Below are 18,960 nucleotides of genomic sequence, written 5' to 3'. Positions count from 1 at the left end.
TGAGATCATGACTATGGTTACAAGATTAACCAAAAAAGTAAAGCTCATCTATCTCCCCACTCTTTTTCTTGACTCCTAGGATACTATAGTAAATTCTTAATATTCTGTACTGAGAGAGGGAAATGATGATAAGGATAACCAAAACAGCAGATTCTTTTAAAATAGCCTGTGTTTGATTTTGGAATGCATTTGAATCTGGTGTTCTGATGGTTTACAAATTCCCTTTAAGTGAAAGAATGCAGGCATGAGGTGAAAATTAACTCAAGAAGCACTGCAAAATTTCTCAGGGTCTCCATCCCTTCCCTGTATTGAGGGGATGGATGGCGTCATCTTAGAGATTACAATAATGCCTAAACTGAGTTGCTATCTCTTCTGGCTTGAATCTCCATTTCTCTAGAGAATAGAGGAAAATAACTTGGTAGTTAGGGTGCTAAAGAAAAGAAAGAAACAAACAAAAACCTAGAAAGGAGGAGGAAAATACCTTAACAAATTTTCTTTTCTGGCTTCTTCTGAAACGTGGAAATGGTAACAGGTACCTAAAGTAAAACGTGCCAGCCTGATGTCCACTTTTGATAGCTTAAATATTAACTAAGGATCACCTGTGAAGTGGATCCCACTTCTTGACAACTGAACATTGATACCACTGTAAAAAACTATATTTAGCTATATATTGGGTTGAACCACAGGAAATTGCCATTTTAGCAGTCAAAATGGTCGAATCCCAGCAACTTCTTTGGTTCAATCAATATTGTGCTTTATTGGTAAACTCTAAAGCCACCCTATAAGGAGTAACACTGTGGTGGTCAGATATCATTTTAATATGAAATGTACTGGAATAAATACTTCACCATCATTTTTGAGGGGCAAAATATGTTTTCCACAGAAAAGGAGCAAACATTCTTCCTAAAATTTCATCACTGAGGCTGGCATTTGGACAACTCAAGGCTTGGACAATTTGAGATAGAGGTACAAGTGTCTAGCAAATTATGAGAACGTGTGGGGTAAAAGAGGCTTTGGGGGTGGGGGAATAATGTGAGGGGGATTTGAAAGCACCATATGAGCTATCAGGATTGTATGATACCTGGGCTCTGCCCTCCAAAACCCACAGCTACGCATGCAGCCACTGAGTCCCAAAAGAATTCCTCACCTTCATGCCAAAGGTGAATATAGTAATGACAATTTTCAGTATGAGTGTTAAAGCCAGCTGCCACATTGCACTGTAGACTCCCACGCCAGCCGGTCTGTCAGGCAGTTCACCCCCTTTGCTTGTGTTGAAACGGTTCTCATAATCACAGAGCTTGGAGGAGTCCAGAAGGCCACAGTCATTAAACAGCTCAGAAATGAGCTCACTTGTGCTCATCCGAGTGTATTCATTGGGGAAAGCCAGGATGGCAGTGATGGCTGTCACGACGAGTACCTCTATAACAGGATACTTGCCCAACTGGGTGGTCTTTCGCTTCCGACACCAGGCAATGTTTGTGCGGATAAACAGTGCTCCCCACAGACCACCAAATATGCCCAGCAGAATGAATGGCACGAGCTCAAAGAGATGCCATGGGGTGTGAAACTCCACATAAAATAGTACCAGGCGGCTGTTCCCAAATGGATTGATGGAGCGTAGAGTGAATGCTGCCACCAAGGCAGCAAAGAATGAACGCCACAATGTTTTGAGGGGAAAATAGTAGCTGACCTAGAAGAAAGAAGGTGAGAAAGCAAACTCAGTCAATACGCAGAAACTATTTCAGGTGAAATGTTGTGCTGCAGGCATGAGAGTCAACTAATGGATGAAAACTGCCGACTGGATTTCTAGTCACATGGTAAAGCACCAAGTTGGGGAGAGCACTCAGGGACTGGGATATACACAGATATTGTACATTATGTACAAAATTATTGCGCTGCAATGTACAAAATTCCTGACACAAAAGCATGCACATGCTGTACAATGAAAAGTTGTTACCTCTTCAAGGCTGAATAATACTCCACCTATAGGTGCTCCAAAGGCTACAGATACACCAGCTGCTGCTGCAGCCGACAAGACCTAAAATCCAAAACTCAGAATTAGTGACAGAATAATGCTGCTTTCCTCAATCACTCAATCACATTTTTAGAAGAAATGTTAGTAGTTACTGAACATTTAAAAATACCTCTAGATGTTCCATATCATCAAAAACAAAATTCAAACACTGTATGCTGAATTTTGAATACACATGCATAGTTCACATGCTTGACCAGGTAAGAGGACCTTTCCTTTGTAATTCATTTAGCCATGTGTTTTATTCTAAATTATGCACCGCCCCCCCGCCCTTATCTCCCATACTCCCAATTCAGTAACTGCATTTGAATTTCTAGGCCTATTTGTTCACCATCTAAATGATGTACTTACAGTGATGTATTTATTTATATGGAACTTTGCAAAGGAATGCTTTTTAAATGAGATGTTCAAGAAGGCTCTAATGACATAAAACTGAAGTCACAATTGGTTCACAGTTATTCAGCAGCTGCAAGTATTCATGCAATAGGTATTTAGAGTCTCTCGTACCCTGTGTCCTACTCCATGCCCAATAACCTATGGACACAGAAATAGGGAGGTGACTAGATTTTTAAGGGAAGACTTAAGATATGGCAAGGAAAGGGACTAGGAGAGAGTGGGAGAGGAAGAAGGAGCCAAAGGGAAAAAGTGATAAAGAGAGAAAGAATAGTGATACTTAGAGACCTCCACCTCTGTGTAGGTGTGTGTGTACATGTAAAATGTACATGACAAACACTAATAATGGCAAACAAACCAAAATTAATAGATGGACCAAGTCCTTTCATTGGATTCTGGTTGCTATGGAGAGAGATGATTTGAAGAAGTAAAGAAATATTTTAGAGAAAGTTGAACAAAATTACGAGTTTTGAAGAATAAAAAGGTCCTTGGCAAAATAAGCATATAGGATTATCTGGAAGAGTAGGATGGCTCAGGAAAATGATGGGGAGGAAAGAATGGAATCTCTGGTGCTAGCTGGAAGGGCTTTGAAATTCCTAGCTACAATGGCTTTCATTTAAGAAAGATGAGGACAGCCAACATGCAACTTGAGAAAGGGGATTTCAGTGACTATGTTTAGGATGAATCAAGAGACAGAAAGAATCGGGGTAGCTAGTTTGCTTTAATTTTATATTGTAGAGTGGAGTCTGTCTACACCCTTCTTTCTCAAGTCTGTTTTACTCTCAACCATCTGCCCACTTTGACAAGGCCATAAGACAAAAAAGGTTGCCGCTGATGATGAAAGCAACAGGAAAAAATAACTGGAAAGTCTAAATAAGTGCTAGAAAGTAAATTTAAGATTCAAATACTAGCCGGTTGTGGTGGCTCATGCCTGTAATCCCAGCACTTTGGGAGGCTGAGGCAGGAGGATCACTTGAGCCCAGGAATTCAACACTGGCCTGGGCAACATGGCAAAACCCAGTCTCTACAAAAAAATTCACAAAATCAGCTGGGTATAATGGCATGTGCCTGTAGTCTTAGCTACTGGGGAGTCTGAGGTGGGAGAATTGCTCAAGCCCAGGTGATGGAGGTTGCAGTGAACTGAGATCACACTACTGCATTCTAGCCTGGCCAAAAGACTGAGACCCTGTCTCCAAAAAAAAAACAAAAACAAAAACAAAAAAAACCAATTCAAATACTGTCACGCACCACGTAACAACGTTTCAGTCAATGATGGACCACATACAACATGGTGGCCCCATAAAATTATATTATATTTTTACTGTGCTTTTTCTATGTTTAGATGCACAAATATTTACCATTGTGTTACAATTGCTCACAGTATTCAGTATAGTCGCATGCTGTACATGTTTGTAGCCTAGGAGCCATAGGCTATATCATAAAGCCTAGGTGTGTAGTAGGCTAGACCATCTAAGTTTGTGTAACTTCAATCTATAATGCTTGCACAGTGACGAAATCTCCTAACAATGCATTTTTCATAACATATCCCTGTCATTGAGACATGACTGTATTCATATGAGTCTAACTGGAGAAATATATGGCATCTGTAGAGAGAAACAGCCAAATCGAATTCCCCTCTTATTTTATTAGAAACTATTTGAACAAAAATGCCAATTTTTAGAATGAAAGTCCCCAGCAATCTGTAGTTTCAAATTCACCTTCATCCATGCAAAACCAGCAACAATCACCACTTCACTCTTAACCATTATAATATTTTTTTAAAAAAATTTCAAACACAGAAAAGGTGAAAGAATAGCACAAAGAAGTCCTACATATCTTCATGTAGCTTCTGTAATTGCTACCATTACTGCATTTGTTTTATGATTCTATTTTTTTCTGAAGAATTGGAATTTCACTCAGAAAAGTCAGTTGCACATATAAGGCTCATGTACCCTGAAATGCTTCAGTGCATGTAGGATATAAATGCTTTTATGTCCTAAAAGCAAAGACAGTCTCTTCCATAATCACAGTTCAATGATCAAAATAGGAAATTTACACTAATAACTGTTATTTGATCTATAAATCTCATTCAAATTTCATAACTGTTCTAATAAAGCCCTTCTAGAAAAAAAATGTTTTCTCAACTCTTCCCTTCTGTTGAATGTCATTCCCATTTAACAACCTCACCAACTTAACACTACCTTTAAGTCCCTCTACTGCATGACAGGTAGTTAAACAATCTACTCATATTTCCCCATCTTCTCTCCTGCTAGCTTTCCTCTCCTTTCTAACAGTGCCAGGACCTTTCTCCCTTGAACCAACAAAATTTATTCTATATTTGAAATCTCAATATCTTTGAGTTTCCTTCTGGGTCTTGTGGTTAATTTTTTTTTTTTTTTTGGTTTTCATAAGAAATCATTAGGTTCCTGTTTTGTGAAAAATCCTTTTAAGTGAAATGACCTTAGTCTTGACCCATTCCATATGTGACTTCTTTGTAATTCAAAGAAAATAAAGCAAGAGCCATTATTCTCTTAGGCCCTTAATTATAGCAAGAAAAAAGTAAACCAATGACTTGGAACTTTTTTTTAAAAAAGTCCTTCCTCCTCAAAACAGCATACATTAACAACTGCATAAACATGACAGCCACTACAGAGGTGCCATGGCGGGACTAATTTAGCTGGGCTGAAACAAAAGGTAGAGAGAGGTCCAATACAGAGAGAAACTAATTCAAGTATAGTGTTAGATAGAAATAGAAAGTGAAAAAACCGACATCTGAAACATACACTGCACTTATATGTACTATTCCATAGCAATAAACAACTTCTTTTAAAATCTATTCTTTCTGTAACTTATTTTGTAAGAGAAGCAATATATACTTGAATAGAATTACATACAATAAAAAGTTAAAATCCTTACTTCTCCTTCACTACCCCTCACTCTCCCACTCACCATAGATAAACATTTTTAACAGTTTGACGTGAGCCAGGCATCGTGTCTCATGCCTGTAATCCCAGCACTTTGGGAGACTGAGGGAGGAGGATTGCTTGAGCGCAGGAGTTCGAGACTAGCCTGGGCAACATAGTGAAACCCCGTCTCTACAAAAAATACAAAAATTAGCTGGGTTTGGTGGTGCGTGCCTGTAGTTTCAGCTACTTGGGAGGCTGAGGTGGGAGGATCATCTGAGCCAGGGAGGTCGAGGCTGCAGTGAGCCGTGATCATGCCACTGCACTGCAGTCTAGGTGACAGAGTGAGACCCTGTCTCAAAAAAAAAAAAAAGTAAAACCAGTTTGGGGTAAAACCACCTTCCAGACATTTTCTATCAATAAGTGCATGTACACTTTTAAAAAATATGAATTATATTATATACATTACTCAGAAACTGGCTTTTAAAATCAAATGGTGTTTCATAGCCAGAATTCCAAGTCAATATATAAAAGGTTATCTCATTTAATGGTTGCAAAGTATTCTACAGTATGAACAGAATAGTATTTATTAGATCAGTTCCCTATTGATGGACATTTTTGTTGCTTCAGTTTTTTACTATGTTGACAGACGCTGCACTATCCTTATACACCTTTGTGCACACACATGCTAGGATATCTGTAGGATAAATTCCTACAAGTGGAATTGCTGGGTCAAAGGGTGTTTGCATTAACATTGGTAGAACTCTCAAATTCTCACCCCCTAAGATTGTATCATTTATGCTCACAACCAAAAAGAGACTATTAAGGCCATTCATTATTACCTCTCTGCGCTTGGCTTCATTCTTCCTGTATTTGTTGAAGCAGTGGCACAGGATGTTCCCACAGCAGCAAGCCACGTGCACTAGAGGGCCCTCTTTGCCCAGGCTCAAGCCAGATGACACTGCCAGCACCAAGGTGATGGTTTTGATAACCAGAGTCCACTTACCCAAATAGCCCCTAATAATGAAACCACTCAAGATAGTTTTTATCTGCAGGTTAAACACAGAAAGATTGAATATAGACTAAGGAAGTCAACAAGGCTAAGAAGCAAAAATCTGGACCTCATTATAGAAACTGCACCTTTTGAATAAGTGACATATAAATGCTTGACCTACAGTGATCCCTGTTTGGAAGAGAGCCCAGGAGCCCAAGAAAGCAAGAACTGTTCTTTAAGCTTTCATGTTCCCCCTTTTTAGGGGGAGGGGAGTGATAGCTGGGCAAGGATGTATTGTAAGTATGAGAGTGTGCATATATGAAGGAGGAGCTGGAGAGGGAGGGATAGGTGTTTTCCTCATGTTACAACGTGGTAGCCCAAGAGGCATGTTTTGAGAGGACAAGGCTAATGTCCCTGAAACAACCTTAAAGGTTAGGTATAGTCTTGATTCCCTGGCTTAAAAAAAAAAAAAATTGTGACTTATTACCTGGTCAGGAAACAGGGAAGGGCAAAGTCATCCTGGTAACCTAAGTCTCAGTGTCTTTAGTCACTGTCAAGCAATCTAAGCCAAAAGTAGTTAGAAACAGGGTTTTAACCATCCCATGTAGCCTAAATCATATTGTGGGAAAGGTACCAAATGATTTTCTTTCTTTTGCCCTGAAAAAGCTGACAATAACACTGCTTTTTCAGGTCAGAATCTTGGGATATACTCTGGAAGCTTTTTGGATAGGGAACAGGGGAAGTTTTCCAGAGCCTGGCTCAACAGGAACCCTCAGGAGGCTAAGAATCAACTCCCTTTAATTTCCTGGTAGCCCAGGCTGAGAGGGACTTGTGGAAAGACCTAGGTCTTAGATGGCCTCAGGATCTGATCCTGTTTAACATTCATCAAATTGTGGTATGTGCTGGAATACATATTAAGAGATTTTAACCAAAAAGTATTCATATTGTAACCATTTATAAACCATTTTAAGAGACTCACCTCAGGGATTCCAGAGCCACAGGCATAAGGCGCAAACACCTTGACAAGAGATACGGCAAGGAAGGCAAATAGGAGAGCCCAGAGGACGTACATGAAATAATTGACTATGTAGGCAAAGGCTCCCTGGAACAGGGGGAAAAAGAAGCTTGTTTTAGCCTAGACAGCTTCAGTGAGACATGCAGCTCTTCTGAGTAATGTTTTTTCAGGAAAAAAAGTCCAAAAAAAAAAAAAACCACCGAGATTAAATTGTTCAAGACTTTTCTTTCTGAATTGTCAACTACTGAAACACTGTCAGGCCACTTAGTACTGAAAATGAGATGCTTTGCTACACCCAAAGGAAATTTACCATGGATTCTAAGGATGAACAAGGAAAAGAGCAAACGGAAAACCATGAAACAAAATTCTCTTTCTATATGAGTGCTTTGATGGGTTTTGTAGTCAAATATATATGATTCCATGTCATTTTACCAAGAGTCTTAAGAGCACCCCCCCAGCTTTTTTGGAATGGCTGAACCTTGGCTTCACATCTGAAGTGAAGAGCGGATCTAAAGTTCCACTAAATTCACCTTTGGCTACTTACCTTGGTGTCAAATTCTCATAGTTTATAGTAACAAAATTTTGGGTGTTTGGCTTTTTTCTTTGCTTTTTAAAATTTTTTTATTGTATGTATTTAAGGTGTACAACATGATGTTTTATATATATACATATAGCGAAATTGTTACTACATTGAAATAAACTTACATGCATATCACCTTCCATAGTTACCTTTCTTTGTATGTGTGGTAAGAGCATCTAAAATATACTCTTAGCAAATTTTTAGTATACAGCATTATTAACTCTACTGTACATTACCTCTCTAGACTTATTCACCCTACCTCACTGCAAATTTGTACCCTTTGGTCCACTTCTCCCCATTTCCTCCTCCTCCATGCCCCAGGTAACCACCATTCTGCTCTCTGGTTCTGTTTACTCAACTTTCTTTTTTAGAGTCCACATATAACTACATCTTCAAGAAAATTTTGGTACCACAGACTCAGGAACAACCATATAAGTAGAAAGTTTTGGACCCTGGTGGTACCAGATATAAATAAATAAAATGGAAACAACTATTTTTTAAAATAGAAAGAATATACTTTTTGAGACTATTCCCCTGTGATAAATGAAGCATGCCACAAAAGAAATCTAGCTTTGACCAGCAGGAAAGATTCATCCATATTAAAGGGCCTGCAAATAGTCATGTCTTACAAAAAAAGCAATTTTGATTAGGAAGTTATGCTTGCTGGTAGAAATATTAGGAATTGCAACTCACTCAGTAAATACAAAACCCAATGGACTTTTGACTTCATAACACAAAACACTATTAAAGTAACTCACTGACCTAGACAAAGAGAACCAGAATGCTCAGGTTTTTTCTGAGTTGTAAATTTGACACAGGTTTTCCATTATCTTAGGCCCTCAGAGGAACACATGATTGCTATTTCTTTGCCTTTCCAATGTAGCTAAGGAGGAAGAAGACTGCAGAGGTAGGAAATGAAGAGGGTAAGGGAGTGAAAGGAAAAGTAACTCAAACTGGCCAGAGGCAGAGACCAGGAGGGCAATTTCCTGGCATTTGGAGAAGGCTTCTTAAAACCTAGAGGAGGCCGAGGCGGGCGGATCACGAGGTCAGGAGATCAAGACCATCCTGGCTAACATGGTGAAACCCCGTCTCTACTAAAAATACAAAAAAATTAGCCGGGCGTGGTAGCGGGTGCCTGTAGTCCCAGCTACTTGGGAGGCTGAGGCAGGAGAATGGCGTGAACCCGGGAGGCGGAGCTTGCAGTGAGCCGAGATCGCACCACTGCACTCCAGCCTGGGTGACAGAGTGAGACTCCGTCTCAAAAAACAAACAAACAAAAACCAAAACCTAGAGGACTCTTTCCCCAGGGAAGGATTTCGTTCATAAAAAGAAGAGCCAGAGAAATCTGTCACTAGAGCAAATCTCAAGCTCCAGTTTGAAAGTAACTGTTGGAATGCTTACACACATACAGCTATAAAGGGGCAGCATGAGGCAGCCCTGCAGTGATAGAACAGTTCTAAATCTTGACTGTGGTGGTGGTTAAACAAATGTCCACATAGGACAAAATGGCAATGAACTATGAACTACATGCGTGCGCGCACATACACACACACAAATACATACATAAATCAATGTGTGTAAACTAAATGGTGAACTAAAGTCTGTGGATTGTACCTATGTCAATTTCCTGGTTTTGCTATGGTACTACATTTATGCAAGCTGTTGCCATTGAGGGAGGGAAGGCTGGGGGAAGGGTACTGAGGACCTCCTTGTACATTGTTTTGCAACTTCCTATGAATCTGTAATTACTTTTGTGTGTGTGTGTGTGTGACAGGATCTCACTCCATTGCCCAGGTTGGAGTGCAGTGGCACTATCATTGCTCACTACAGCCTGGATCTCCTGGGTTCAGGGAATCCTCCCACCTCACCTTCTGAGTAGCTGGGACTATAGGTGGTTGCTACCACGCCCAGTTTTTTTATTTTTAGACACAGGGGTCTTGATATATTGCCCAGGCTGGCCTCAAACTCCTGGCCCCGAGGGATCCTCCCTCCTCAGCCTCCCAAAGTGCTGGGATTACAGGCATGAGGCACACCTCACTCAGTCCTTGGAGGAGAGGATTTTTTTTTTTTTTTGAGATAGAGTCTTGCTCTGTCGCCCAGGCTGGAGTGCAGTGGTGCGATCACGGCTCACTGCAACCTCCGCCTCCCAGGTACAAGTGATTCTCCTGCCTCAGCCTCCTGAGTAGCTGGCATTACAGGTGCTCACCACCATGCCTGGCTAATTTTATATATATATGTGTGTATATACATGTTTTTTTTTTTTTTTTTTTTTTTTTTTTTTTTTTTTTGTAGAGACAGGGTTTCACCATGTTGGCCAGGCTGCTTTCAAACTCTTGACCTCAGGTGATCCACCCACCTTGGCCTCCCAAAGTGCTGGGATTACAGGCCACCGCGCCTGGCCAATTACATTTAAAATAAAAGAATCCCCCCAAAAGCAAGGGAAATACACACACACACACACACACACACACACACACACTCTCTCTCTCTCTCTCTCTCTCTCTCTTTCACACCCACCCTAAGTTGTAGGACTTCTCAAACTTTTCTACCTAAGTTCTCCTAATCTAGGAGAGAGTAAACAAAGGCATCAGAGTATGGGACAGGGTACCCGGGAGCAGAGCTGAAAGATTTTTTTTTTTCTTAACAAGTATGAAATTTTGCATTCCATTTTTAAATGATTATTTACATATAATTTTTGAAAAAAAATTCCAAATATTCAGGAAAAAGTAATGCTCTGGGAAGGCAAATAATGTTTGTCCTATAGTTTCACCTACCCTCTGGCACACTGACCTTACCCTAGTTTGAGAAGCATAGACCTAAACTCTCTCAAACATACGGCATGTATCTATCCCTTTTATTGAACCCTTTACCTAAGCCAAGATGCATAGTCATACATGTATATAAACACTCCTATTTCTATCTTTATTCTTTTTCTATCCTCCTTTTCCCTGGACTGTTTGTATTTGTGTATGTGTGTGCACATGCCACCTCAAATTGTTTGTAGACCAAGGAGGGTAATATAAATGTTTAAAAGTACAAACATACATCCTAGTCTTGTTTCCCTCACTAACAAAATAGATGAGTAGTGAACTAAGATGGTACCTGTCTTTGTTGGTGGAAGTCAGGGTGGAATTGGGAGTTGAGAGTTTTTTGCTTTGTGTGCTTTTGTTTTCAGTGGGAGAGATCAAACATATAACTGAGTGGTAAAATAAAGGTAAGGAACTGAAAAATAAGCAAAGTTACCTTGGCATCAAAAAACATATGGTAGGCCAAGCACAGTGGCTCATGCCTGTAATCTCAGCATTTTGGAAGGCCAAGGCAGGAGGGTCACTTGAGGCAAAGAGTTCGAGACCAGCCTAGGCAACATAGTAAGACTCCATTTTCACAAAATAAATAAATAAATAAATTATCTAGGTGTGGTGGTGCACGCCTTTAGTCCCAGCTACTCCTGAGGAGGACTGGTGGGAGGACTGCTTGAGGCTAGGAGGTTGAGGCTGCAGTGGTGAGCTATGGTCATGTCACTGTACTCCAGCCTGGGTGACAGAGAAAGACCCTGTCTCAAGAAAAAAAACAAAAACGTATGCTAGAAGACAAGGACAAATGAAAATATTGATTTGATTACAAAATGGGATGATAGGCAATTTTATTCCTGGGTTTCTGTTATTTTGACATGGAATGCATTGTACTTTTTTCAATGTTCTAATGCAATGCTCAGGGAAAATCACTTTTCAAATCCATATACATAAACACATTTTTAACTCACTCTGTCCTTCATTAGAAATTATAGCTCACCTGTTGGCTGCCTCTGACACTTCTTTTGAAATGATTAGAAAAAGAGAAATTCAGTCACACTATGTACTAGTACCTAAGAAGAAATACCAGGCTTAGTAAAGCAAACAAAAAACCATTTTAAACATAAGCGTCAAATGACTCTACACATCAGCAGAGATGGAAATAGAGCTGCACTTAAACCACAGAGAAAGGCAGCTGGTACTGGTTCCCCTTTCTGTGGAAAGGAAAATAAAGGAAGATTCCGCAATTGCTGTGAGCACAGTATAAGAAATAAAATAAATGTAAGAAGAAAAGTCAATGGCTCATAAAACATCACTACATGTTACCTCATCTGTGCTGATGATAAGCTGGGACCAACTATTCCACTCTGGACATTTGTCTCTCTCTTCAAAGGTGACATGCTCAGAGTTCCAGCAACAATGTTCATGGTTAAACCAGAATCCCCCTGTGCATATACCTTCTTTTAAGTCTGTCATCCAATGAGCAGAGATGTCTATCAAACCAGCTAACGAACCTGATTTGTGGGGAGGGAGGGAAAGGCCAAAGTTAAACTGAATCTCGGAAACTGTTCTTTGGTCATCAGAATAAGCTTTGTCAGAGAAAATGAGGGGAAAGGAATCAAAGTAACAGATAAGCACATACTTCCCCATTCCACCTGTAACCTCTTTCTCATTGTGTGTTTGCTTGATTTTCACTTATTATCTCTGCACTAAACACTGCCATCTGTGGAATTTCTACATAGAAGGGACTTAGGGAAAGCAAAATGGTTAAGTGGGAGCAAGGGGCTAGTGGGCCTGTCTTTAAGCTGAACTAACAGGGCAAAAACACTATTTTGACTTCAACTTTATGAATACTGATCCATAAAGAGTCAAGTTTATTAAAGATTCTTTTATTCTCACATATATATATATACATATACATATATACATATATACAAGATTCAGAATATGTGAATTGCCCAACATTGAGGAATATTCTATGATGTTTATTTGAGATTGCTTAGAGAGGAGAGCTGACGAAGATTATGGGGAGAAGGGCTAAGCCTTAATAGTAGGATTGTGCTCCATGGACAAGGGAATTTGAGCAATGGCAGGAAGGCATTCTAGGCTAAAGGAGCTGAATCTATCAAAGCACAAACTGTGATGTGCATGGAAGGTGAGATGAAGCTATAGACATGTTGAGGCCTCCTGAACCTAGGACATGAACATCCTGAAGTTTTCTTACTGAGAAAGAGCAAACAGTATTATACACAGAACATTCACCAAAGAAAATGATGGGAAATGGAATCGTGAACTGGGGACTTAGGATGCACTGTGGCTAATAGACTGATAGGGTTAAGACAGTTATAGTAATTTAGATTCTGGCCTTCTCATCATTTCTGTCATCCAGATGAAGAAACTCTGGCATAAAGAAATTAAATGGCCCAGAATCATGCTTTAGGGAAATAGTAAAGCCATCACAAAATTCACAGCCCTTGAATTCCCAGACTGTTCCAGCATTCAGACACACTGCTTCTATTGTTGCTCTCCAATGCTTAAAAACAAAATACCCTGTGTGTACAAGGGAAAGAAAAATATTCACTGACCACCTAGTGACAAGAAATACATTAAAAAGTTGAGGATATTATGCCTACATTCCAACGGGCGGGAAGCCATGTCGTGTATGTTTTGGTAGGTGCTAAAAGTGTTAACACAGGTTACTTACATACTTGAAGAATCTAGTCAAATCTAACACATTGTTTGACACCTACTCTTGGCCACTCCGGTCCACAATCTTCTCTGCCTTCTATCTGTTACTGCCTGGATTCGGAAAATTACCATGATGTTATACAGTTTGGCTTATTCTCTGGTTGTCTCACGTGTACATGTCTTATTTCACCTAACACTGGTACCCTCAATCCTGTCTTCTCCTTCTACCTCTCCTCCTCCCCAGAGTCAGTTCTTTCTTCTCTGGTTACAAATTGTATTAGGTTTCCCCTACCCTGAAGAATAAAATGCTGTCCCTTGTCCTTGTTATCATTTCAAGCCTTTACCCTTCCTCTCTCTCCTATGACTACCAAAACTTCTACAGTGGTTGCCTTCCCTTGAAATCTATTAGGTTGGTGCAAAAGCAATTGCGGTTTTCGCCATTAAAAGTAATGCAATTACTTTTGCACAAACCGAATAGATTTAGCTTCTAATATTTTTCTGAGATGGCTTTTCAAGGTAATTGCTGTGTTCCTAACTGCTAGGTCATATAATCTTTTCTCAGCCATCTTCCTTGTCCTCAGCCTCTCTGCAATACTTAGCATTACAGACCACCCAGTCTATTATTAGGCAGCTCCAAAGAGCCAGACCATGTTCTCTCTCCTGTAAGAGCCAGAAGGGGCAGAGTTAACACCCTAGGCCATGGGTTGGCAAACTATAGCCCAAGGACCAAATCCTGTCTGTCTCCTATTTTTGCAAATAAAGTTTTTCTGGTCACAGCTGGGCTTGTTTACCTATTGTCTATGGCTGCTTTCGTGCCACATCAGCAGAATGGAGTGGGTGCTAGAGAGAACACTTGGCCCACAAATCCTAAAATATTTACTATCTGGCTCCTTTACAGCAGAAGTTTGCCAATCCCTGCCCTAGACAATTTTTTAAAACCCAGCTATAGATAAGCCATTCTTCATTTGCTACAGTCACATTCTACTCCATGGCTCATGAATTATTCTCTCTTGGTAACGGCAGCAGCAGCAGCATTAACAACTGTCTGCTGTGCTTAATAAGTGCTATTATGTGCTATATCTCATTTAATCCTCACAGCAAACTTCTAACATAGGGACTTTGATTATCACCATTTTACAGATCAGTAAACTAAGGCTTCCAGGGGTTAAGAAACTTGCTCAAAGCCACAAAACTAGCAAGTGGTGGGGCTTGGATTCAAATCCAGGCAGCCTAAAACTAGAGCCTCTACTTGCTGTTAACTACCACTGTATACCTTCCACCTCCAGGTTTCCACCTAACTTCTCTTTCAGCTCAAGATTACAGATTTGCCTAGGCCCTATCCTTTAATGCCATAAGGACACACCTCTTACCATCTCTACCTAGTGTCCTTGGCCCTCTCCTCTCCCCACCGGGTGAGAAACCTTCTTGGGAACTTGGTTGAAAGCTGTATTTGTACAGTAAGTATACCATTTTTAGTGAGACTGTATATTATATGGAGTGGCAGGGAAGGTTGAAGGAGTTTATAGGGCAAGGTGGCACCATTCCACCCCCAGCCACTATGAAAGAATGAGATCATAAGCTTCTTGGGAGTACGAGCCATATCTTACATGCTTTTCTGCATCACCAAATGAGAGAGTAGATGTTTAAGAAACACCCACAAAATGTCTCAGGAAGTCCTCTTCCACATCTTATCTCCTAAAACCCATGCAGTATGTATTAAAAAAAAAACTGTCTCCAACAGAAGGGCTCTTCCTCAAAACAAGCACCAAAGGGCTAACATCACCTTAAAATGGATACAGTATTTTATAGTGTACAAAATGCATTTAAATGCATTTCCTCATTTATTCAAGGTAAGAATTGCAGGTATTAGTACCCTTTACAGATGGGGACATTGAGCTTCTATAAGGTTCACCAGCAATTCATTTAAGGTAGAAAAACAGGAAAACACAGTACGTGACTCAGCTCAGGACTTACGGGAGAGACATACCACAATTTTAGGAGATTTGTTTTGAAAACTAACAGTTTACCATACCTGATAAAAGCCCAATAAGGAGCATCAACAACCAGCCGGAAAAAGCATCACTCACACTGTGAATTAAGGCCCATGTTGACTCTTTGCTTTTATTGGTAATCTAGGGGAAAATGAGAAAACATTGGTACACTCTACACACACCATTTTTTCACTTAAAAACTGTTCAACAAAGAAATACAAAGACAAATCACTGGAGAATAGAGACCAATTTAGAGCTACTTTTCACATAATCTTTAGCTGAACCAGTTTCACTAACAACTTTGAGGTTTACCGAAACCCCACCTTCATCTACAGTATTGTAATGCCCACAAGTTCCTTATTCAGAGCTTCCTCCCAAGCCATCATTTCTTATAGCATCAACTTGTTTTGCTTATTGCAGTGGTATCTTTCTATCCTGGACATCAGATATTCCAAGGGCAATCTCTTGACTCACAGCAAATAGTTTCAATGTTTTTCAAAGAATAAATAAACACAGGCTTATTTGAGTGATAAAAGTACAAATTGAGGCTTACTACCTGGGGGCTGTGGTTCAGGTCAGGCAAATTCCCAGACTTCATCCCACAAACGCCTAATTGTACAGTGGTCACCGATACTAAGTGATAGCAATGATGTATCTCTTTTCATTTTCAACAACCTGCTGGTAACATCAAGGCTATCAGGAGGTGCAGAAAGTTTTATCTTTTAAGTCCTAGACTTGACAATTTAACCCTTCAGGGCCTACATTTTAAAAATCAACATTCTGACAGTTTTGTCACTGGTACCTCCCCTTTCTCTGTACCTCTATTTCTTATCTTTGAAATGGCAACTTAGTTACCCCACCTTATCTACAGTAACGTCACAGACAATAAATTATTCTGAGAATTTCAAAAGCATTTTTTTAAATAGTTTTGACCTATGACTCTAAGTTTCCAATTTCAGTGCTGAAAAGGAACAAAGTTACATTTTTCCCTGTGACAGTGTTTCCCTTCTGATAATGAACAGTTAATGCTATAAAACAAAAAGCCCCCTTGGGCTATTTGATAAACACACTTTAACTGGTTTTGGATTACTAATTGGCATAATTTGCCTCAGATGCAACCATTAATATAAAAGGAAGTGTGCACTTGTCATATCACAGGTGACTCTCATAATCTGGATAACATGTTGAATATGCAACTGATGACAAACTGGTAAATTACAGATGGCAGAAATTCTAAAGCCCGCCTGATGAATTGATACATACGATAGAAAGAATATGTGTATATGTTCCCAAATGGCAGAAATCTTATGAAAAAACATGAAATGCTTTATAGTGATCAACTTTTCGAGTTGTGACAAGAAAACTCGGTGGAATCACCAAATATCCATGGATTAAGAAGGAATTTCTCAAAACCTGTACTTGGGACAACCTGACTCCTGGGTTCAGGTGGTCGTGAGAAAACCAGTCAGGAGCTGGAAAGGCTTAAGAACGAAAGTCAATCTCCACCTGACTACTCAAGAGATTTGCTTGGTTCTAAGAGGAGGAAATCATGAACTTGGGAGAGAATGGGGCAGCTTAAAAAATCACATTTCAAATCTGGAGTCCAAGCAGAAATAGTAAGAAAGAAAAAAAAATAATACCTATTGTGGGTTGAAGAAGTGACTCACCAGAGGACCACCTACTGAGAATCTCTGGGGTTGGACAACTATTTTTTTAATAAGCTCTCCACGTGGCCCTTATACAAACCAGAAATTGTGATTCCCTAATTTAAATGATACACAGCAACAAGTTAAAGGCAAATGACCTTGGCAAGTCTCTCTGAGAAGTTTTCACGGTACTTCAAAAAGAGAAAAGTGGGGAAATTCTCTTGCTAAATTCAAAAGAACCTGTGCCATAGCCATAAGTACCATCTATTACCTATCACATTAAGTTAATGTCCCCAGTTTGAATTTAACTGGTCTTGTGGTTTTGTTGGAGTTGAAAGCATAAGTTTACTTTGGTTTTATGGTTGTACAAGATCAATAATCACAAGGAGTTTACTTTGTATGCTTCAGTAAACACTAGGGCTCTGAGATTTTTTTCTTTTATTCCTTTAACAGAAAACCATTTACTTTTCTTAGTTATGAATATCCTGCATTAAGGAAAAAACCATAAAAGAGAGATTATATGGGAAAGGAAGATCTTTGACATTTATTTTGCCACCTTCCTCCAAGTTTGTTTTCACCTCTCTTCAGAGGCATTTATATCCCTTTTAGCTGTGAGGATCCTTTGCGACTATTTACTATAGTAAGATAAATCACTAAATACAATTTTTTAAATTTAGGATAAAAATTATGTGCAAGCACCAACATGGCACATGTATACATATGTAACAAACCTGCACGTTGTGCACATGTACCCTAGAACTTAAAGTATAATAAAAAAATTATGTGCAAGATGTCTTCAAAAATAAATTTAAAAATGAAACTCTATATTGCCAACAGAAACCAGATTCAGTCACATCCAGGGCTGAAGAAAGGAAAGAATAGAAAGAATATGTATCTTCAATTTCTTCCCCTGTATTTCCTAACACTTACCCATGTGCCATCTTTTGTCTTACCTCTCGGTGCCTATCCCGGTCTCGAGACTTCTCTCTCACCCAATCAATTGTATTGAAATCATCATAGGTCCCTACACCAGGGATTGGCTCCTCCAAGAAGTCCATGATCCTATTTGAAGAACCTATTCCTCCACCATTGTACGACTTGTCCTCTGTATTGAACAAGAAATAGACATTAGTACTTCAGAAATTCTTAACATTTTTAATACATTCTTTTTGGTTCCAAAAGGCGGGCCCTTAAACTATCAGATGACTACAGTTGGGGTTGATAAAGAAATACAGTCACCTGGTAGGAACATCCATTACATTCAGAGGTTTCTGTGGTGTAGGCACAAAATGATGAGTGGCTAAAGGCAGTGTGAATGGAAAGCAACAGATGAGAGTGACAGTACAAAGAGAGACAGGAGTTGATGTGCAATGGGAAAGGATTTATGAAACAAAAGACAAAAAGGAGGTTGGAGCAGCTTAGGTATTTCAGTTTATGGAAGGGAGACAAAAGGGTCAAAGGCACTTGCAGCCATATCACATCAAGAACCATTTTACATTTATAAGGCAATAATTCAATCCTATGAAGTGGTTTTTGCCTGGCTGGGGACTCCAAATAAAGCATGTGGGCCTCTTCACGAGTTAAGTTGGCTGGAATGTACAAATTTCCCTTCAATAGGTATAAGACTTGATCTCTGATGTAACAGGCTTGTAGGAACTCTAAGTATGTCAGCACAGTCTAAGATTTACAAGCAGAGATTTAAAGAACAGTGTATGATTCAGTGATGAAATGTCCCTCCCTGATCCTTCAACTGCAAGAAACATATCCACCTGCCCACCCATCATAGTCCCTTATCTACTTTGCTTTGGGTACTTCTATTACAATTACTTTTGTGCATGCTTTATCTTCCTTTCTAGACTACAAGCTCTTTGCTGGTAGCCTGATGTCTGATTCATCGTTCCCTTCTCTACAGTGTCTAGCACATAT

General features: G+C 39.6%; 1 protein-coding gene across 9 annotated transcripts in view; it reads right to left on the bottom strand.

Annotated features, from left to right (window-relative positions):
* The window catches only part of CLCN5 (chloride voltage-gated channel 5), a 176,635-nt gene that overhangs the window by 11,213 nt on the left and 146,462 nt on the right, over positions 1-18,960 (bottom strand). For 8 of the 9 annotated variants that reach the window (NR_199781.1, NM_001440757.1, NM_001127899.4 and 5 more), the window contains 7 exons: positions 17,988-18,139; positions 15,430-15,529; positions 12,036-12,223; positions 7,302-7,424; positions 6,171-6,377; positions 1,958-2,038; positions 1,148-1,690 (listed from right to left, as the gene is read on the bottom strand). Coding sequence is in view for 8 of the 9 variants with exons in the window: in NM_001440757.1 (NP_001427686.1) it covers positions 1,148-1,690; positions 1,958-2,038; positions 6,171-6,377; positions 7,302-7,424; positions 12,036-12,223; positions 15,430-15,529; positions 17,988-18,139 (1,394 nt within the window). In the remaining variant the exon portion in view is untranslated. Of the gene's footprint in view, positions 1-1,147; positions 1,691-1,957; positions 2,039-6,170; positions 6,378-7,301; positions 7,425-12,035; positions 12,224-15,429; positions 15,530-17,987; positions 18,140-18,273; positions 18,518-18,960 lie in introns of those variants that run through there. The other variant, NM_001282163.2, reaches the window with a different exon arrangement.

This window comes from Homo sapiens, chromosome X, assembly GCF_000001405.40.
Source record: "Homo sapiens chromosome X, GRCh38.p14 Primary Assembly".
NCBI classification, from domain to species: domain Eukaryota; kingdom Metazoa; phylum Chordata; class Mammalia; order Primates; family Hominidae; genus Homo; species Homo sapiens.
The sequence above is the reverse complement of the archived record's forward strand: the minus strand, read 5'-3'. Positions and strand labels throughout refer to the sequence as shown.